This window comes from Homo sapiens, chromosome 1 (genome assembly GCF_000001405.40).
Source record: "Homo sapiens chromosome 1, GRCh38.p14 Primary Assembly".
Taxonomy (NCBI): domain Eukaryota; kingdom Metazoa; phylum Chordata; class Mammalia; order Primates; family Hominidae; genus Homo; species Homo sapiens.
This window is the reverse complement of record NC_000001.11, coordinates 228,888,733-228,910,977: the sequence shown is the minus strand read 5'-3', so window position 1 is coordinate 228,910,977 and position 22,245 is coordinate 228,888,733. Positions and strand designations below refer to the sequence as shown.

Genomic DNA, 22,245 nt, shown 5'->3' with positions numbered 1-22,245 from the left:
AATGTTTTATAGCATCAGCATTTTAAATTAAAATGTAAGATATAAATAGAGAAAAGTACACACATCATAAATATACAGTTCAAGGCTGGGCACGGTGGCTCACACCTGTAATCCCAGCACTTTGGAATGTCAAGGCAGGTGGATCACTTGAGCCCAGGAGTTTGAGACCAGCCTGGGAAACATAGTGAGACCCTGTCTCTATAAAAAATAAAAAGTTATCTAGTTGTGGTGGTGTGTGTCTGTGGTCCCAGCTACTTGGGAGGCTGAGGCAGGAGGATCACTTGAGCCTGGGAAGTTGAGGCTGCAGTGAGCTGTAATCACACCACTGCATTCCAGCCTGGGTGACAGAGTGAGACTCTGTCTCTAAAAGTAAAATTAAAAATAAACAAACAAATAAATAAATACACAGTTCAATAGGTACACACAAAGTCAACACACTGAAGAAACCAAAAACAATATAGAAATGCAACTGAGAGGGCCGGGCATGGTGGCTCACGCCTGTAATCCCAGCACTTTGGGGGGCCAACGTGGGCAGATCACGAGGTCAGGAGTTCGAGACCAGCCTAGCCAACATGGTGAAAACCCATCTCTACTAAAAGTACAAAAGAAAATCAGCTGGGCATGGTGGTGGCCACCTGTAATCCCAGCTACTCAGGAGGCTAAGGCAGGAGAATTGCTTGAACCTGGGAGGCGGAGGTTGCAGTGAGCCAAGATTGCACCACTGTACTCCAGCCTGGGTGACAGAGAAAGACTCCATCTCAAAAAAAAAAAAAAAAAAAAAAAAAAAAGAAATGCAACCGAGAAAGAGAACACAGGGCCTTCCCTGTATCCTCTTCCACTCACTGCCTCCCTCCTCACTGCCTCGTTTAATTAAGGTAACCATGATCTTAGCCTCTAATACCACAGAGTACTTTTTCCTCTTTCTGAACTTTACCTAAATGGAGTCACACAGTAGGTTCTCTTTTATTTCTGGTGTGTCATGCTCACATTGTATTTGAGCTTCCTCCCTGTTTTGGTTTGGCAGTCATTTGTCCATTTACATGGATGTGTGGTATATTCCCTTGGATGAATGTACTGCAGTTTATTTATCCATTCTACTGTTGATGGAAATTGGAATTGTTTCCAGTCTTGCTACAAACATTCTTATCCATGTCATTTGAAACATAAATAAGTATTTTGGGGGAATATTTCTAGGAATGGGATTCCTGGATCATAGGGTATTTGTAAGCTCAGCTTTAGTAGACACTGCAAACCAACCAAACCAACTTAGTATTCAATTAAGGGTATAGTACTCTTTTTAACATTTTCCTATTTTTATTGTATTTGTTTAGTTGACATAACAATTGTACATATTTATGGGGTACATAGTGGTGTTTTGATACCTAAAGTGATCAGATCAGAGTAATTGGCATGTCTACCATCTCAAACAATTATCATTCTTCATGCTGGGAACATTTAATATCCTCCTTCTAGCTATTTGAAACTATAGTGTATTACTGTTAACTATAGTCATCCTACAGTGCTATAGAATGCTAGAACTTACTTCTATCTAGCTGTAATTTTGCATCCTTTAAAATCTCTCCCTATCCATCCATTACCCCTGCCCTTTCCAGACTCTAGATCCTCTGAGCTTTTTGAAATTGAGTGAAATACAAAAGGAAAGACAATGTATAGTCCCACTCTCCCAGAGTTTCCATGTGGTCAAGGGATCCACTTGTGAAAGAGTGAAGAGATATTACAACTTATTTGATTGGGCACCAAATTGAGATAATTGATACCAAGTGTCATAAGATCAAAGTCACAGGTAGGGGAGAATGCCAGGCCTCTTTCCCCGACAACAGTGGGGAAACTGCCTTTACAGGGACATGCCAGTCCCCAGGCTCATGGGATTCATCTCTTCTGCGATATCCACCCCTATAAGGGGCTTGCTCTTTCACTCTGCTCCTTCTCTGCAGCAGCTTCGTCTCTCTGCTTTTGATTCCCACCACATATGTAGAAGGCCTCAGAGTCTATGAACCAGGTACTGTCAGACAGAACAATAATAAAATAACAACAGAGATTTTTTTCTTATAGAAATTTCAGCCGAGTTATTTGAAACCAATTCTCCCCATGAAAACGACCAAAGCTCTAATTTAAATATTCTAAATGTCTCCTTAACAGTGTCAAATAGCTGACAAAATTGTAGGAAACTCCCAGGCCAAAGCCTATGGTGAGGGGAAACAGAGAAACAAGAGGAGAGGAGAAGCTGCTTCTGCCCGACGTCCTTTGCCAAGCCAGGCAAGCCTGGCCTTCAGTTTTAGCAGCTTTGAGGGGCCAGAAGTTAAGGCCCAGTGCTGACCAAAGGAGGGAAGTCTAACAGGATACCTTCTCCACATAAGCTGGGATTCCAGAGGTCTATACAGCCTAAGGACAATGGTGAACTAGAAATAAAACCACCTCACTTTCCACCTGTACGAGGCTGCAGGTAAGGTTCTCTTGGTGATCATCAGAGCAAAGGAAAAATATCAGAAAAACAATAACAGCCCCTAAGGAGTTGTGATCACAAGGTGACTCTCATAAGGATGTGCATCATAGCCTCACATCACCTGGGTGGTACAGGAAACCTTTAATTATGAATTTATTTTAAAGTAGTCCCAGGCTGGTAGTGCCTTCAGGTGTCTGGGAGAATGAATCCCAAATTCTATTATGGATAAATAGTTTCTCAACATCGGCCTATAAATACTTTTACAAGGACAATGAGCAGTACACAGTCAAAAATAACCAAGCACACAAGGAAACAATTCATCATAGACAAAAACAACTGAAAGAATAAACAGAACAAATATTCCTCTAATACTTAGATATGGGAATTATCAGACAAAGTCAAACTGATGCTTACCATGTTTAAAGAAATAAAACAGGCTTAAAAATAGTGGCAGATAACAGGAATCTATAAAAAGTGACCTAGTATATTTTTACAAAAACAAATAGAACTTCTAGAAATAAAAATACAGTATCTAAAAGTTAAAATTCCTTTGGTGGGTTTAATAGCAAATTAACACAGCTAAAGAGAAAATTATCATATTTCATAAGATCCGAGACAGTATTGATTATAAGATGCACTGTTATTTTATGAACACTAAGAAAGAAAACAATGTTGTCAATTAAACTGTGGCACAATGCTTTTTTATTAGAAATTTTAGTTTGCGCTTACTGAAAGAGCTCTTTTAGACTTATATTTTTAAACTCTGTGCCTAAATAGAACCCTTATGCAGACATAAAAGGGAAAATATGATTAAAATGAACTGGTTTAAAATGTTCCTAAAACTTCTTCACAGGCAGAGTCTGATTCTTCCAAGTCATTTTTAACTCAAAGTTTCATTTGTGTTTTTTCCTTGCTGTTGAGATGCAGCACTTCTCACAGTGCCCCATGACTGTTTCCAGGATCTTCCAGGGCCCTTATCCCCATTCTGTGAGGTTTGATTCTGGTGCTTTTGTGGCCCTGCCAGACATGGCCAATTAATAAAAGGTTTTCCGCTGAAATGCAATTCCATGAAAAGGTTTTGGATATTAACTAGGGCTCACTTCTATCCTTCCCCAAACTGTGCGTGTTTGTTGACTGAAATATCAAAGAACTGCAGTGGTCCAATCCTGCTGCCACAAGTAACAACCATGTTCATCTCTGGGCAGACGATGACTGTGATTTTAAAACAACATCAGTTGTAAGACACAGCGCTATTTCAGTATGTTAAAGTGTGAAAAATATATACAGTTGGCCCTCGGTATCCACAGGGGATTGGTTCCAGGACCCTCTCAGATACAAACTCTGCAGATGCTTACGTCCCTTATATAAATGGCATAGTATTTGCATGTAACCTGCACACATCCTCCCATATGCTTTAAATTATCTTAGATTACTTCTCATACCTAATACAATGTAAATGCTATGTAAATAGCTAGCATATGGTAGTACTTTCTTTGCATTATTTTTAATTGTTGTGTTGTTATTTTATTTATTTACTTAGAATATTTTCATTTGTGGTTGGTTGAACCCACAGAGGCTGAACCCATTGATATGGAGGACTGACTGTAGATATCTCAAATGGGTAAAGAATGGTAGATGAAGACCTGCTCCCAAATATTTGGTGTCTCTTTATTTCTACTGCTGCCAGTCTAAGGGGCTTTCAACCCTTTCTGTTTTATGATTCCACCTCCCCAGCCTCACTTCCCCTGCTCTTCCAGTTCTGGGCTGCCCCCAGGTGCTCAGAGTTCTTGGTAGCCCTCCTCACTCCACCCTGACCTCCTCTGTTGCTCCTCTCGCCACCGGCTCCTAGCCCTCTGCTGTTGGCACTGCCTGGGCATAGCCCTCTTACTCCATGCAGTCAGACTCTCCTGAGGCCAGGTCTTCCCGGGGTGCTTATTAGATGAAGACCTTGTGGAGCTTCATTCGCTCTTTGGTACTGAAGGCAAGCTTTAATGCACAGACGAACATTTTATCAAGTGGTAGTCACGAACTGAGTGCCTTTTGGCCAATAAATGTTTGTTACATTTCTGCTCTTGGGGCCTGTGAGAAGAGTTCCTAAAAGGATCATGCAGAGAGAGCTGAGACACTCACTTTGTCCCTGTCCTCTGGGAACATTCATCAGAGCGCGCACTCAGCCATGAGAACAGGGCATGACCACATGAAGGGGTTTCGTGAAGTTCTTGAGCAATGTTTGAGACAGTGTGTTTAAATTTTAATATTATATTCGGCAGGTCTGGTCAAAAAGATTCATAATAGCATTTCAACTATAATTTCCCCCCCTTGCAATTCATACAGCCTTCAATTTTTCACCATAGGATAGCTTATCTTTTCATCTTTTCAGGGAAATAGGATCCCACACACCAGACTGTTTGTATAGAATTATGCAATACAGCCCTCATAAATTTTGAGAAATTTGCTTTTACATATCATTTACATATTGTTTCTATCCAAATGAAGTTACTAAAGATTTCTATTCATCCTTAGGGAAGGGAAGCATGGTTTTTCCATTGGCCAGTCTTCCTAGAGAATGAAAAGTTATTTGCAAACCCTTCCCCTGCAGCAGCCACAACCCCAAAGCAGCTTCCTTAGCCATGAACGCGCTTGGAGTTTGATGGAGTGACATGAATGAAAGGCTTAAGGTTTGTGTATTAGTTGTCTACTGCTGCTGCAACACATTCCTCAAACCTGGTGGCCTCAACAATACAAATTTATTATCTTACAGCTCTGGAGGTCAGAAGTCTGACACAGTTCTCATTGGGTAATAGTCAAAGTTTTGATCAGGCTGCATTCCTTTTGGAGGCTCTAGGGGAGAATTCTTCTTTCTCTCTTCCAGTTTCTTTTTTTTCTTTTTTTTCTTTTTTTTTTTTTTTTTGAGACAGACTCTTGCTCTGTCACCCAGGCTGGAGTGCAGTGCTGTGATCTCTGTCTTGCTGCAACCTCTGCCTCCTGGGTTCAAGCTATTCTTCTGCCTCAGCCTCCTGAGTAGCAGGGACTACAGGTGCCTGCCACCATGCCCTGCTAATTTTTATACTTTTAGTAGAGATGGGGTTTTGCCATGTTGGCCAAGCTGGTCTTGAACTCCTGACCTCAGGTGATCCACCTGCCTCGGCCTCCCAAAGTGCTGGGATTACAGGCATGAGCCACCGTGCCTGGCTGCCCTCTTCCAGTTTCTAAAGGCTGTCCCCTTCCTTAGTTCTGAACACATTCCTCTATCTTCAAAGCCAGCAATGCTGCATCTCTCTGATCATTCTTCTGTATCACATCTCCCTTCTGCCTTCCTCATCTACTTTTAAGAACCCTTGTTCTTGAACAAGGACATTGGTCCTACCTGGATAGTCTAAGATAATCTCCCTACCTTAAGGTCAGTTTATTAGCAACCTTAATTCCATCTGCAACCTTAATTCCCCTTTGCCATGTAACATAACATAGTCACAGGTTCTAGAGATTTGGGCACAGATATCTTTGGGGAGCATTATTCTGCCTACCACAGTCTGGATAAGGTGAGAACTGGCCAGATCATGGAGAGAACAGCAACCTCAGAACTGCTTTCTGACCCAAATACAACACATAGGGAATGGCTGTGAGACAATTCCCCCTAGGGATATTTGCTGACCATAGAGAACCTATATAAGCGACAGTGGTTATCTGTCTCCATGTATACGATGTCCAGACCCTACTGGTCCCCCAGGATATTTCATCTCAAACAGACATATCCAGCTCAGTGTGTTTCATACTTTCAGCATAGTTTAAAATGTGGGGAAGAATTCCTCCTGGAACTCAAAGGGGATAAATGTTGGGGGATTAGTGAGAATTTCTGAAATTGGGAAAGTTAAAAGTTGGCAAACTCCTTTATTATTCACATTAGGCTTCAACTTAGCAACTTACCAAGATTGCCTTGGGCCTCCATGCCATCCTATTCACTGTGAAGTGAGCATGGCCAATCTGGTTTATTTATTTTTTAGGGGCAGGGAGGGTCTCATTCTGTCATGAGGTTGGAGTGCAGTGGCCCATTCATAGTTGCTGCAGCCTTAACCTCCTGGGCTCAAGTGATCCTCCCACCTCAGCCTCCCTGGTAGTTGGGACCACAGTCATGCACCGCCACGCCTGGGTAATTTTTAAATTTTTTGTAGAGATGGGGTTTTCACTGTGCTGACCAGGCTGTTCTCAAACTCCTGGGCTCAAGTGATCCTCCCACCTCGGCCTCCCAAAGTGCTGAAATTACAGGTGTGAGCCACCAAACCCCGCTCTAAACCATTTTATACTCTGATTCATCAGCATTGAGTTGCACAGAATACAATACACTCTCGCTAGTTTAAGCGGAGAAGAAATATTGAGGGTGTGAAATAGTTTACAGAATCATTGGGAGAGCAGAGGAAACAGATTTGAGGCTAAGCTTCTAGGAATTACATCCAAAGCCACATTGCAGGACTGGTGGCCAAAGTCACCAAAGTCACCACAGTCCCCACAGTCCCCACAGCTCCTGCTGCTCTGAGGAGGCTGCCTGCTGAATCAGGAAGCCGCGACTAGCACTGCAGTCTGCAGAGCTGCGCAGGGAAAGCTGCCTCCAAGGAATCGAAGCACTGTTCCTGTAGCTGCTCACTGCATGGAACAGTGATCTTTCTGCAACAGTCCCACACCTGCAAAACTGGAAGTCTTGTGTCCCGCCTCTTGTTTGGCTTAACTCTGCTCTGAAATCAACCCTTCCAGGAGGGAATTTGCTTGGCAGATACTAATCACATCTGGAGCCTTGGGCCTGGGAAACATAGGGTTTAGCTCTCCAGGCTCTGGGTGAAGGAAAGGAGAGTGTTGGGATAGATAGTGAGGAATCAGCCCAGGGCGCCCACCATTGTCAGTGAGACAGTGGGGAAGAGTTAGCACCCGAAGCCCCCAAGCCCACTGTGGAAAGTGATTTCACCTGCGTGAGGATCACCAGAACAGAGTCTGAAACAGGGCTCCCCAGAGCATGTCGCATCTTCCTCCTCCTTCTTCATATCTTTCTTTTTTTAAACAAAATTTCCTGGGCTTGTGTGGTTCAGTGTTTGGGTTGACTTTTGTTTCAGCTGAACTAGTTGACTTATTCTGGCTTTGTGGCTGCGCCAGTGAAATATGTACATATTTTGCCTGTGTACGGCTATCTTTTCCTGTTTTCCTTCAGGGATTATACATCAGCACAGAGTCCATGGCACTGCTCCAGATAAAACAGCGCGGCAGAATCATCACCACTGGCAGAGCTCTCTGGTTGACTCATGAGGATTGGGAATAAATGACCAAATATAAACAGTGGAGTGGTGCCAACTGAGGCTCCCTTGTAGCAAACGGTCCCCTGTGGCATGTGAAAAAGAGGCCGGGAAAAGCCCAGCTGTGGGCACCATGCCACTGACTGCCGCTAATTTACTGCCATGACTACTCCAGGGCACCCTGATTTCTGCTTTTCAGAAACCTTTTGTGCATTGTTTTTTCCACTATCCCCATTTGGTTGACTAACCTGTAAGGCACTGGCTCCCTCAGCCAGTCAGGGCTTAGGCCTGTTTTGTCACACTGCAAATCCCTCACTGGCTGGTTGGTAGCCGTGAGAGAGGACGCATTGATATTCCTAACCAAGTCTTGCTGGCCTTTAGCTTCCACGTGCTTACCTGCAAAATCCTCAGCTTATCTGGTGTAATCAAGATAAAAAATAAATGATCGATCGACCGATCGATAGATAGATAGATACATACATACATACATATTTAAATGCATAGATGAGATTGGTAGATAGATGATAAATAGATGAAAGATAGAGATAGATATGATAGGATAGGTAGGTAGATAGACAGTCAATAGGTAGGTTGACAGACACACAGAGAGAGACATGTAGATGTCACAGCACCGGCCATTGAAGGAGCCTGAACAACCTCACACATGCACAGCACCAGGCCCCTCTCCTTCTTCTCTGGCTCCTTACAGGATCTTCTGTCCAGAAGCTGCTGGAGGCATCAGTGGTTGCCCTCCATGGTTAGCACCCTGCCGGGGGGTGGGGGACATCTCCTGAAACTGAAGAACCCCCATGGCACTGAATGACACAAACTTCCCTTCTAGTCTCCCAGCCCAGGGTGGCACTGTGTCCTGTGCAAAAGTGAGGAGGATGCCCCTTTTCCCAACTCTGTCACTCTTTCTCATCTGAGCCTTAAAGAGTCGTGGCATACTCTCAGAGTGTAACACAGACCTTCCTGAAAACAACCCACTTTACGCTACCTGTAGTCTCTTTCTCCAAGACACTGGCCACAATCCCAGGGCCACATGTAAGCTCTCAGCCCAGGGTACTGGCCCCCAAATCTTTCTCTATCAGCACTCCTCCCCATCAGCACTGGCCACTCAGCCTGTGGGTGTATATGCATGTGTGTGCTGGGTATTGAGTGTGTGTATGTGCTGTGTTGAGCGTGTGCATGCATGTACATGCAGGGAAGCACAGTGTAGGCTAAGCTGAGACCCCTCATTTACTTAGGTGGGAGGATACTAAGAGATCTAAATACACACATCAATAGCAGGGGCTCTGCAGACACTCAGCAAGCTGGGAGTGGCCACCTGGAGGCTGTGTGGAAGGGGCCCCGAGGAAGAGCTCACCTTAGAAGATAACGCTTAGTCTCTGGTCCCTGCCAAATGACACTGTTACACTCCTAAGTTCCCTGCTCTCCAGGACATATTCTGAATACCAAATAAGACCCATGAGGCATGGTAGCTCAAACCGCAGGTTCCAGCGTGTCAAGTGTGTTTCCAGGACCAGCTGACCCTGCTCCAGTGAGAGGTTACCAAAGGCCTCTCAATATACAGGACCACCCACATCACTGCAGACCCCGCCAATATGCCAGAGCACTGATCACTTGATCTGAACAGAAAAGAGTGGCAGCCTAGGAGGGGCTGACGCTGAGTCAAGCTCGCACCCATTGAGAACATTCTTCTTCCCAAGTATTCCCTGCAATGACAGTGTAAGAAAGCTGGGATGCAGATAGAAATACTTGGTCTAGCAGTTTGGGTTTTTGCATTTTTCTGTAAGATTGCATTAAAGTGTGACATGGGTCCATGGACCAAGGAAAAGTTTTGGATTCAGTGGACTAAGCCTCATAATGTTATTAGGGCTACTAATGGGTGACGTTACAGTCTCTTCCTGCCACCTGCAGAGGCCCCAGATGGACCCATCCCTTCTAATGCACAGCTCTCCACACCCAACCTGTGGGCCTAGTTACAGTTGTGTGGTGGGGCCGACCCTCCACCCACACCCTGGTGGCCGCAGCAGTGAAGAGGGCTACAGCTTCCATGGGTGGGTGGCAAGATCTCATACCAGTCCCATGAGAAAGCTAAGATGCTTTATAAATGCTGCAAACTGTCAGCCCGCAAGTGAGTGCTTAATGCCAGAAAGCATACAGAAAGTCAAAGCAAACGTCTCTCAACCCTGTTTTTCGGTTGGGTTTTATTGTTTGTTCTTTGTGGCTGGGTGGGAGACTGGGGTAGAAAAAAAAATCCATGATTCTTTTTGAACCTGCCTTGTGTCCTTTTAAGAAGTAGCTTCTACCAGCAGCTGGTTTTGGTTTTTTGGTTTTTTTCCAGAGAGAAATGTGAGGGAGGACTGTGTTAGGAGCAAAATGTTCGTATCCACTTGCAGCAGCCTCTTGGTGCATTTCGGGAAACGGTATGTGCTGCCTGGATGCCTGGGGTTCTTTAGAATGAGCACATATTTATGTTAAGGAGGAAAAAAAACACTTGTATTTTCAACCTCAAAGATGATTTTTTAAAAGTCAAAACAACTCACATCCTAGGCTGCCAGAATGCTTGCTTTCTGCGCTCACTTCTAGTCCCAAATACATTTGTGTAGCTCATTATATGCTGACTGGAACTGTAGTTTGTAGTGAGAGCCAAGCAGCACTCTCATTCCAGCTCGTTTCTCATCAGGAGAGTGGTCTTTTATCACTTCAGGAAGCTGGAAAAGGCTCTCTCCCATGGCCATGCTGTTAGATAATGATCTCACCAACCCTAAGTAAAAGCAGAGGGTTTTTCACCCCGTAAAAGCCCTAGGCCAAGGCAAATCCCCACCCCACGCCCAGACTCAGCCCCATCAGACACAGGAGAGCTGGCCAGAGGATGGCCCCCCAGAGGCCTCGGGTCTTTGTGTAAATGAGTCCGCCCCACCCACCTACGCTGCCCTGGAGTATTTTCGATGACACCGTGGAGCAATGACTGCATCTCTTTGAGATCACATGAAGAGTTGTACTTAACAACAGCTCGGGAGGTCGGGGAGAAGCCACATGATGCAGCTGCTTTGAAAGCAGAAAGAAGATGGGCTCACGGTCGGGCTGGTGGCCAGCGGTGCTGGATAATGACTCCTCTGCCTGTCCCTCTGGCTGAAGCTGAGGAGAGTGAGCCCGTGCACCTGAAGACCCTCAGTTCCTTGTTTTCTCTCTTCCATATTTTCCAAGTCTTGCACAAAAAGCACATTCTTTCCCTCTCACCCCTGAATCTGCCTGTGTTCTGGGTGATGGAGGATCCCAGACTGGTTCACCCTATGGGGACAGATGGACCACAAAATGACTTCCGAGCCCACTAAGTTGATGGGCTTGTGGGGGCTGTGCCTTCTCACCCTCATTTGTCGGGCTCCATCGGTGAACATCTGGAAGCTTCTTCTTGACCTCTGCAAGCCACTCGCACTCGCCCCCAAACTCCTGTCTCAGGGCCTTGGCACTTGCCCTTCCTCTCCTCCTCTGCCCAGCCAGCCTCTCCCAGAGATCTGTGAGGCCTGTGCCTGCTGATGCTGCCTGGTGGTGAGGCCGCCCGCCATCCTGCCCCTCCCTACCACTTACCACCGCCGAAAAGACTCCAAGGGTCATTCATCTTTGCGGCTGTTATCTGTTTTTGTGTTACGGAAACCCAGCCTCCCCACCCAGACAGCAGTCTCCACAAGGAAAGAGATTCGGGTCTGTTCTCTTCTTCTGCTGTATCCTCAGCCACCAGGAAGCATAGCAGACACTTGGTGAATACCCACTTTTGCAGAGTAGAAATAACAATTGTGTATTTTGCTTTTTCATGTCACCTTCTATTACGTTATTTCTTCTGTTATCACATAAGCATGGACTGCTTTACAAATCAGAAAACAAACAAGCAAACCCATAAACATGCATTTTAAAATCTCAGGAGGCAGGCCAGGGGCAGTGGCTTACACCTGTAATCTCAGCATTTTGGGAGGCTGAGGCAGTTGGATCGCAGAGCCCCCTCTCATGCTTTGCGGGAGCAGAGCCACGTGTAGGTCAAGAGCCCTTCGAGAATGTGATGAAGTATTATTACAGATATTCTTCCCAGAAAACGTGTGCTCATGCCCATACAGAGAACATTTTTACACAACTCGAAGGAAGTCCCAGGTTCCCTCATGCCCCACAAATTAAGAACCCTGGGTTGAGATGAGTGACCCCTCTCACCTCACCTCATCCTTCCTGCACAAAGCTACTTCAGGGTTGTCAGGGATTCCAGTAAAATAGTGCTTCTCTCCACGTGTTGGACCCGGCAACCACGGCTCATGCCACGGCCTCCGTTCCTCACTAAGGCAAACTTCGCACCTGCTTCTGCCAAATGGGGCGGCCAGGGTCAGCTGTGCAGGGCCCCAGCCATGGGAAGTGGAGATAAGGAGGTGGTTAAAGGCAGCACAGACAGCAGGGCCTGCAGGAGCAGCTCAAAGAACTGTCCAGGCCAGCCTGAGAGGCCTACCTGTTACCACAGCCCCAGTGTTTATAAAAGGCCCGGTTGTTCCTCTTTTCTGGGGCTCTTTGAGTCATATGTGTTCTTAAAATACCAGTCTCAACCCATGAGCTGAGGTGGCCTGAATGAGACTTGGTTCCTCTCAACAAAAAGAGTCCAGATGGCACAATGTTGGGAGTCCATCCCTGGGAGCCGAGGCTGCTGACCAGGAGGGTCACTCTGGAAAAGAGAGAGTCTGGTGGCAAAGCTGCGTCAGGCGCTGGCCCACCCTTCTCACTACTCGTTCCCCTCCCAGCTGAGCTGCTAGGCTGGCTGAGCTCTGAGCTCCTTGTGGCTTTCAAATGCCATGTTTGACGAGAAGTTCATTCCAGGTGAGTTCCTGAGATTCCCAGATGAAAGGAACAAAGCAAAAATAAATAAATAAAAATATAAAGCAAAATAAGTTATTTGTTTGCCTTTTTGCCATTCTCCAGCCTGATACCACTGAGAGTAGCTTCCCCATTTCCAAAGTCCTACAACCCAATGCTGTAATCTTGGCTGCACCCCTCATCTCAGGTATTCCTGCTTCCCCAGCCCTTCCCTTCGCCGTGTCTTTTGCCGGCCTGGTGGAGCCACATCTGGAGGGGCAACCCTGAGCCCTCTGACCCGGACTGCCCAGAACAGCCGGCGACACTGGTAGACGCGGATCTGGTTTTTCTTAATCACGGCCCTCAACAGAATCCACAGACTTTCCTGGAAGCCACAGGGCAGTCTTCAGCCCCAGCTCCCATCTCTTCCCTCCACATCTAGGTGTCTTCTGTTTACAGAGAAGGAGCCATGATGAAAGATGGCTTTGACCCATTTGAAGACTTTCAGCCAGAAAATGTGCTTTGTACTAGGAGCTGGAGGAACGGCATTGCCACCACACCATACCCCTTCTTGATGGAATAGCCACAGCCAGAAACCTCCCTCTGTCCCTTCCCACATGGTGAGTGGCTCTGGGAACTGGGCTGAAGAGAGGGTTGGGTGAGAGGTTACAGGGAAGGAATCCTGGCTCTTCCTCTTAGTGGCTCTGTGATCCGGGGAGGTGGCCTGACACCTGTGGTCCTCGGTTCCTGTCATCAGTAAAGTGAGGTTATGAATGCAGCCTGCCTCCAAGAGTGAGCTGTGAGACTCAGGTGCATTGGGGCATGGAACAGCACCTGTGAACAGGTGAGGCCAAGATGATGCTGTCTGCCCACAAACTGTTTCAGGCTCTTCATGGGCTTGCAAACCAAGGGATCCTTCCAGCTCCCCTCCTTCTAGGTGGGGCCGTAGGCCTGGTTTTGGATGGTGGCATGAGGGCCAAAACAACAGATGCCACTTCCAAGCCTGGCACGTCAACCAGCTTCCTCCCATTCTCTGTCTCACCTCCTTCTGCTACAGCCTTGAAGGCCGTGTGTTGGGACTGGTGGTTCCCCAAGATGGAAGGAGCCAGATCTTTGAACAACTGTGTATAGCAGAGCCTGCCCCAATCTCCAACCACATAAGTATGTGACATAAGTGAGCAATACACTTTTATTGTGATAAGCCACTGAGACTTCAGGATTTCTTTATATTTGCAGCCTAGCCTTGCCTACCCAGATAGAGGTGCCAGATGGATGACCTACAAGCCAGATGTGTTTGGCTTTAATGATTAAAAAATTGGAATGTAAGTGCTCTACAGAGCATGCTTGCTCCAGTTTGCCACAACCCTCACCACTCCTTATTGATTTTTACCCAGCCACTTCACACATTTACCTGCCTAAGTCCGTGAAACATTTGAGTTTGCAAGCCTGAAAAGCTCTGGATCAAAATCGCTTTTTGATTAATGCTTCGACTCTGTGTTGTCTCATCCTGTGACATGCTCAGGAAGATAGCAGAAACTCATGCAAGTAAATTGAGTAGCATTGTCTATTGAGGTTGGGTGCAGATAGCTTAGGTTTAAAACATGCATTGTGGGCTGGGCATGGTGGCTTACGCCTGTAATCCCAGCACTTTGGGAAGCCGAGGTGGACAGATCACCTGAGGTCAGGAGTTCAAGACCAGCCTGACTAACATGGTGAAACCCCGTCTTTACTAAAAATACAAAAATTTAGCCAGGTATAGTGGCAGGCACCTGTAATCCCAGCTACTCAGGAGGCTGAGGCAGGAGAATCTAAACCCGGGAGGTGGAGGTTGCAGTGAGCCAAGATTGCGCCATTGCACTCCAGCCTGGGCAACAGAGAGAGACTGTCTCAAAAAAAAACAAAAACAAAAACAAAAACAAAACATGCATTGTGGTGTGGTGAGGAATGGCCTGGCTTCTAAATCCGGTTCTGGTTTTGGCTTTGTCACTCAGAAGCAATGTTGACTTCCACCAAATCACATCTGAGGGCCTTAATTTCCTCGTTTTCAAAATAAGGGATTTTAAATAAACATTCTCCATATTAGCTTGGGCTATCATAAAGAAATACCACGGGCTAGGTGGCTTAAACCACAGACATTCATTTTCTTGAAGTTCTAAAGGCTGGAAGTCCAAGGTCAAGGTGCCTCCTGACCTCACTTAAACTTTTATCTCCTCCTCATAGGCCCCGCCTCCAAATAGAGTCACGTTGAGTGTGTGGGCTTCAGCATCAGCATTTTCGGGGAACACCTTTCAGCCCATAACAGATTCTATTATTTCCAGACTGTTCAAAGAAGGAAATAGATCACATTTATGTACTTTCCACAGCATGGGGCAGGCAGGGGGAGCGGTTGGGCTGACCCGCTGAGGGACCTCATTTTAATTAAAAGTGGCTGTTTTAAAATTTAATTTAATTTTATTTTGACAGGATAAAGTTGTTTATTTTTATTTTTTTAAAAGTTGTTATTATTTTTTAATTTTTTATTTCCATAGGCTTTTGGGGAACAGGTGGTATCTGGTTACATGAGTAAGTTCTTTAATGGTAATTTGTGAGATTTTGGTGCACCCATCACCTGAGCAGTATACACTGAACCCAATTTGTAGTCTTTGATCCCTCACCCCCTCCCGCCCTTTCCCCCAAGTCCCCAAAGTCCATTGTATCATTCTTATTCCTTTGCATCCTCATAGCTTAGTTCCCACTTATGAGTGAGAACATACGATGTTTGGTTTTCCATTCCTGAGTTACTTCACTTAGAATAATAGTCTCCAATTACATCCAGGTTGCTGCAAATGCCATTAATTCATTCCTATTTATGGCTGAGTGGTATTCCCTCATATATATATATATATATATACATACACCACAGTTTCTTTATCCACTCGTTGATTAAAGGACATTTGAGCTGGTTCCATATTTTTGCAATTGTGAATTGTGTTGCTATAAACATGGGTGTGCAAGTATCTTTTTTGTATAATGACTTCTTTTCTTCTAGATAGACACCCAGTAGTGAGACTGCTGGATCAAATGGTACTTCTAAAAAGTGGCTGTTTTTTAATATATGAGAATATAAAAATCATTTTTTCAGTCATGTGCGTTGTGAATATCTTCTTCTGGACTGTGGTTGGTTCTTTTTTATTTATTTTCTTCTGCTGAAGTTTTACATTTTAGTATTTATCAGTTTCAAGGTGATAATATTCTCCTATACTTTCCCCTAAAGTTAAGGTTTTCGTTTCAACATTTAGAAATTCAATCTCCTGTGAGATTTTTTTTTTGTATAGTATGAAGTCTGCAATATATAATACTATTTGAACTTATTAAGTTTTACATAAATAGGATCACACTGTAAAAACAAAAGTGGCTGTCCTCTTCCAGACAATTTTTTTGGCCAAAACATCATTCTGAGATGGGCCTTGAAAGAATTCCCGACATGGAGAAAAGCTGGCCCTGCTGTGTCAGTTGAATGGCCCAGGATCTGCAGCTGGAGCCCCACAACAAGCTGTACTCCTGGTTTTCTCTTCCGTCTGGAACAGACACTCCCCTGGTGTGAACTGTTGCTGTTCCCAGTGTGTGGGATGAGGGGCACCAATCTTCACCCACTAACAGAAAGCTATGGGAAATAATTAGCTGGTGCTGACTGAGAACTCTGAAATACACGAAGCGTGCAAGGAATGTTTCTGAAATACAGACGTATTCATTCTGCGACACTCGCGGACAGCCCTGGGGTGCTGCCCTGGTGTCATCTCTGCAAACTGAAACATCCAGTGGCACCAGAAGCAAGGTCAGAGTTCCCAGCCCTGTGGTGTCCTTGGACTTGAAAATCAACCATTTGAGCTCCTCAAATGTACAGAATCCTTCTACGTGCCTCATAAGTCTGTAGGGATTAATTTGGGTTATACTGGATACTTGGAGTACTGGGTGACGTACAAGAAACCTGTCTCCCTGCAAGTTACAGACCCTTTACAAGACCTTAAAATTCAGGGGGAAGCTGGAGGCCTTGATGCCAGTCCTTCATCCACCTTGGCTCAGCCATGTGACTTTGGATGCATCGTCTGACCTCTCTGGGCTTCTGTGGACACACGTGAAAACTGGGAACAGGCTGGGAGGGACATTTGACTCCACAAAAGTGAATGAGCTGTTAACAACTGCTTGCATTTTTCAGAGAAAAGTTTTTTTTGTTTGGTTTTTTTTTTTTGAAATGGAGTCTCGCTCTGTCGCCCAGGCTGGAGTGCAGTGGCGCCATCTCAGCTCGCTGCAAGCTCCACCTCCTGGGTTGACGCCATTCTCCTGCCTCAGCCTCCCAAGCAGCTGGGACCACAGGCACCTGCCACCACACCCGGCTAAATTTTTGTAATTTTAGTAGAGATGGGGTTTCACCGTGTTAGCCAGGATGGTCTCTATCTCCTGACCTTGTGATCCCCCCGCCTTGGCCTCCCAAAGTGCTGGTATTACAGGTGTGAGCCACCGTGCCCGGCCTGAGAAAAGTTTTTAAAAGCTGAACTAACCATTTCGTAGGTTGCCTGTTCACTCTGATGGTAGTTTCTTTTGCTGTGCAGAAACTCTTTAGTTTAATTAGATCCCATTTGTCAATTTTGGCTTTGGTTGCCATTGCTTTTGGTGTTTTAGACATGAAGTCCTTGCCCATGCCTATGTCCTGAATGGCAATGCCTAGGTTTTCTTCTAGGGTTTTTATGGTTTTAGGTCTAATGTTTAAGTCTTTAATCCATCTTGAATTGATTTTTGTATAAGGTGTAAGGAAGGGATCCAGTTTCAGCTTTTTACATATGGCTAGCCAGTTTTCCCAGCACCATTTATTAAATAGGGAATCCTTTCCCCGTTGCTTGTTTTTCTCAGGTTTGTCAAAAATCAGATAGTTGTAGATAAGCAGCGTTATTTCTGAGGGCTCTGTTCTGTTCCATCGATCTATATCTCTGTTTTGGTACCAGTACCATGCTGTTTTGGTTACTGTAGCCTTGTAGTACAGTTTGAAGTCAGGTAGTGTGATGCCTCCAGCTTTGTTCTTTTGGCTTAGGATTGACTTGGTGATGCAGGCTCTTTTTTGGTTCCATATGAACTTTAAAGTAGTTTTTTCCAATTCTGTGAAGAAAGTCATTGGTAGCTTGATGGGGATGGCATTGAATCTGTAAATTGCCTTGGGCAGTATGGCCATTTGGGAGAAAATTTTCGCAACATACTCATCTGACAAAGGGCTAATATCCAGAATCTACAATTAACTCAAACAAATTTACAAGAAAAAAACAAACAACCCCATCAAAAAGTGGGCGAAGGACATGAACAGACACTTCTCGAAAGAAGACATTTATGCAGCCAAAAGATACATGAAAAAATGCTCACCATCACTGGCCATCAGAGAAATGCAAATCAAAACCACAATGAGATACGATGGTATCTGTATCTCAGATACATTTGAGGTGGGGGGAGGGGGGAGGGATAGCATTGGGGGATATACCTAATGCTAGATGACGAGTTAGTGGGTGCAGCACACCAGCATGGCAAATGTATACATATGAAACTAACCTGCACATTGTGCACATGTACCCTAAAACTTAAAGTATAATAATAATAAAGAAAGAAAGAAAGAAAGAAAGAAAGAAAAAAAAATCTCACACCAGTTAGAATGGCAATCATTAAAAAGTCAGGAAACAACGGGTGCTGGAGAGGATGTGGAGAAATAAGAACACTTTTACACTGTTGGTGGGACTGTAAACTAGTTCAACCATTGTGGAAGTCAGTGTGGCGATTCCTCAGGGATCTAGAACTAGAAATGCCATTTGACCCAGCCATCCCATTACTGGGTATATACCCAAAGGACTATAAATCATGCTGCTATAAAGACACATGCACACATATGTTTATTGCGGCATTATTCACAATAGCAAAGACTTGGAACCAATCCAAATGTCCAACAATGATAGACTGGATTAAGAAAATGTGGCACATATACACCATGGAATACTATGCAGCCATAAAAAATGATGAGTTCATGTCCTTTGTAGCGACATGGATGAAACTGGAAATCATCATTCTCAGTAAACTATCGCAAGAACAAAAAACCAAACACCGCATATTCTCACTCATAGGTGGGAATTGAACAATGAGAATACATGGACACAGGAAGGGGAACATCACACTCTGGGGACTGTTGTGGGGTGGGGGGAGGGGGGAGAGATAGCATTGGGAGATATACCTAATGCTAGATGACGAGTTAGTGGGTGCAGCGCACCAGCATGGCAAATGTATACATATGTAACTAACCTGCACATTGTGCACATGTACCCTAAAACTTAAAGTATAATAATAAATAAATAAATAAATAAATAAATAAATAAACTGAACTAACACTGTCTCAGCAGGCCCAGGAAGGAAAGGCACTTTGCGTGGGGATCCGGAAGTCTCTGGGGTAAAAGAACCCCATGGGGGTGGAGTTCATTGCGTTGCGGCTCTTTACCCCTCTCATGGGGTAAAATCCATCACCTCAAGCCATGGAGCCAGTGTGTCGGGGACTCCCGTCTTAGCCAAAGCAGCAGGAGGGGCAGTGGGCAGCCAGGACACAGCAGCCCCCCTCGGGGACCAAAGGGTGGACCTGATGTGAAGCTGGTGGGCCACCGTTCTGCAGGAGCAGCGGAGCCTAATGGATCCCAGAGTCTGAGTGTTCTGTTCACGATTCCCCTTGCTCTGTGCTTCAACAGCCTACATCATACTTAGGTGCTGGCGATTCATGGACTGACCTGCATTATCCTCTGCAGCGTGGATGACAAGAGAGAGGCTGAGTCGAGTGAGTCCCTGACAGACTGGAGGCCGAGCCTATTGAAATCCCTTTTGGAACCAGGCAAGCAGTAAATAAATACAGACATGAATAGATGGAAATGGAATTTCTACGACCCAAACACCCACACCATCAGCAAGTTAGATTTATAGCAGAGCTTCAGGGAAGATGACTCCCTCTGCTAACAGCCACGTTTCAGTCTGCCCTAAACCAAGCACACCTACTCACCACCCTCCAGCTGCCCTGAGATCTCTCTTCTTCCTTTCACCTGCTCTTTCCCTGCCTCCACTTCCTCAACACCCACTCCTCATTAACCATTGCAGTCAAGGTCACACCCCCATTGTTTTACTGGCAGTCTTCTTTGGCGGTCACCAATGACCTTTTCATTGCCAGATGCAATTAAAAAATTTTTTTTCTACTAATACATAATATATATACGTGTTTTTGGGGTACATGTGATATTTTGGTACATGCGTAGAATGTGTAATAATTAAGTCAGAGTATTTAGGAAATCCATCGCCTCAAACATCTATCATTTCTTTGTGTTGGGAACATTTCACATCTTCTCTTCTAGCTATTTTGAAATAAATTCCCTGATTATATTCTGTTCTCTGCCTTCTTTGGTGGCGATTACTCATAATACACCAAAGTTCTTTACAAGATCCTGTCCTTAGCTCTCTTTTTCCTTTTCCTCTCTCACTCCTGTCTCCTTGCAAATTTCATCCACTACAACAGCTTCTCCTCCCACAGCTGTGGTTTCCACTCAAGTAGACCTCTTCTGGCCACCATATTCCCCTCAAGTCAGAGCTCTGCATCTTCAACTTTTTGAGTATTTCCTGTGTGTCCCCCAGCCACCGCCCAGCATTCTGTATCAGGCATCCAACTCAAATGCCTGGCACTCTCTTTGATATCTCTCTTCCTTTATGTATTCTCAAAGAACCAATTACCAAGTACTCCCTACTCAGCTGTTACTGTGATTCTACCTTCAAAATTCTTTGCCAAGCATCTCAATTCGGAAATCCATGTTGGAGTAAACAAATAGGAATCTGAGCAAAATATATGAAGCAACTATTTTCAGACATTGGACAGTAGGCAAAAGGACCATGGGTCCCTGAGAGAGGCAGGATCCAGAGTCTCCCCAGCCTGAGGGCACTTTCTACCCACAGCTTATGGGAGTGATCCAAGCAGAGATGACAGCTCTGCTGAATTAAGAGATCAGAATATGAAGACATTGGGCCGGTTCTTAGTTGAGGGGGCAGAGTAAGAAGATATGGGGAACTACGGCAGAAAGAGCCTGCCAATCTGCATATGGGTCTCCTTGAGCTTGTTAGTGAATACTCATCAGAGCAAGTATGAAAGAAATCCATGAGCAGGGCAGAGAACTCCAGGCACTCACACCAGGCTCCTACCAGAAAAGGAGGAGAGACTTGTTAGGCATTCAGAAGAAACTTCCAAAAGCTTGAGTCTTTTCAGATGCAGTTTCTGTATCTATTGAAGTGGTTTTTCATATAACGTGGTACGAATATGTTGGTAAGGATTTTTACCTTTCCTCGTGAGAGGAAATGGCTTATAGTATTCTATTCTTGTAATGTCCTTGTCAAGTTTTGATATCAAGATGATGCTGAGCTGGCAATGTTCTTTCCTTCTCTGTTTCTAGAAAAGAAATTTGTGTAGGCTTGGTATTCTTTCTTAAATGTTTGATAAAATTCAACACTAAACCATCTGGGTCTGGAGTTTTCCTTATGGGAATTTAATTCTCAATTAAATGTCTTTAATTTACATATGGTTGTTAAGAATCTCTATTTCTTCTTTTGTCAATTTGGGTAATATGTGTCTTTCAAGGAATTTATTTTACCTAAGTTTTTAAATTTATTGTCATGAAGTTGTACATAATATTCTTACTATCCTTTTAACATCTATCTGTTGGATCAGTTATGATGTTCCCTTTTTCATTCTTGATACTTTTAATGTCTTCTCTTTTTTCCCTTAATCAGTCTAACTAGAAGTTTATCAATTTTTTATTTTCACTTTTTGAGATAGGGCCTCATTCTGCACACAGGCTGAAGTGTGTGGTTATGAGCTCAGCTCACTACAGTCTTAACTTCCTGGTCTCAAGCAATCCTCCCACTTTAGTCTCCTGAATAGCTGGAACTATAGGTGTGTGCCACCATGCCCGGGTAATTTTGTTTTTTCGTTTTGTTTTGTTTTGTTTTTTGTAGAGATGGGGGTCTCACTGTGTTGCCCATCCTGGTCTTGAACTCTTGGGTCAAGTAATCTTCCTGCCTCAGTTTCCCAAAGAGCTGGGATTACAGATTTGACCCACCACATCTGGCCAAGTTTATCAATTTTAAATCATTTCCAATAACCAAGATTTGGTTTCATTGATTATTTTGTCTTTTTTCTATTTTATTGATTTCTTATTACTTTCTTCTACTTACTTTGGGTATGATTGGAGCCCCTTTCTTGCTTCTTAAACTTATTGATTTAGAACTCTTTGCTTTTTATTTTTTAATTTTAATTTTTATTATTGTTATTTTTTGTAGAGACAGGGTATCACTTTGCTGCCAGAAGTGATCTCAGACTCCCAAGCTTAAGTGATTTATCCTGGCCTCCCAAAATGCTGGGATTACAGGTACGAGCCACCACGCCCAGCTTAGAACTTCTTATTTTCAAATACAAGCATCTAAAGCAATAAGCTCTAACTGCGTCCCACAGATTTTGATATGTTGTATTTTAATTGTCATTCTGTTAAAAATAATTTCACAGTGGAGAAACTTAACAGAGATAATTAATCAAATGACCAACATAAATTTCATCAGTAATGAGACAAGTAGAAATCCTGTGCTACCTGATAT

General features: G+C 44.4%; 3 annotated features.

The window, feature by feature from the left end:
- Positions 7,602 to 7,896: a silencer, noted in NCBI's record as "tiled region #14212; HepG2 Repressive DNase unmatched - State 2:TssF, and K562 Repressive non-DNase unmatched - State 21:Repr". NCBI's record gives its function as "represses a minimal TATA promoter and a strong SV40 promoter by Sharpr-MPRA in HepG2 and K562 cells {active_cell/tissue: HepG2 | K562}" and the evidence as "EXISTENCE:reporter gene assay evidence [ECO:0000049][PMID:27701403]".
- Positions 10,735 to 11,390: an enhancer, noted in NCBI's record as "H3K27ac-H3K4me1 hESC enhancer chr1:229035335-229035990 (GRCh37/hg19 assembly coordinates)". NCBI's record gives its function as "activates a minimal SCP1, AML or CMV promoter by ChIP-STARR-seq in primed H9 embryonic stem cells {active_cell/tissue: H9 hESC(primed)}" and the evidence as "EXISTENCE:reporter gene assay evidence [ECO:0000049][PMID:30033119]".
- Positions 11,965 to 12,214: an enhancer, noted in NCBI's record as "active region_2698". NCBI's record gives its function as "activates an Ori minimal core promoter by ATAC-STARR-seq in GM12878 lymphoblastoid cells {active_cell/tissue: GM12878}" and the evidence as "EXISTENCE:reporter gene assay evidence [ECO:0000049][PMID:35858748]".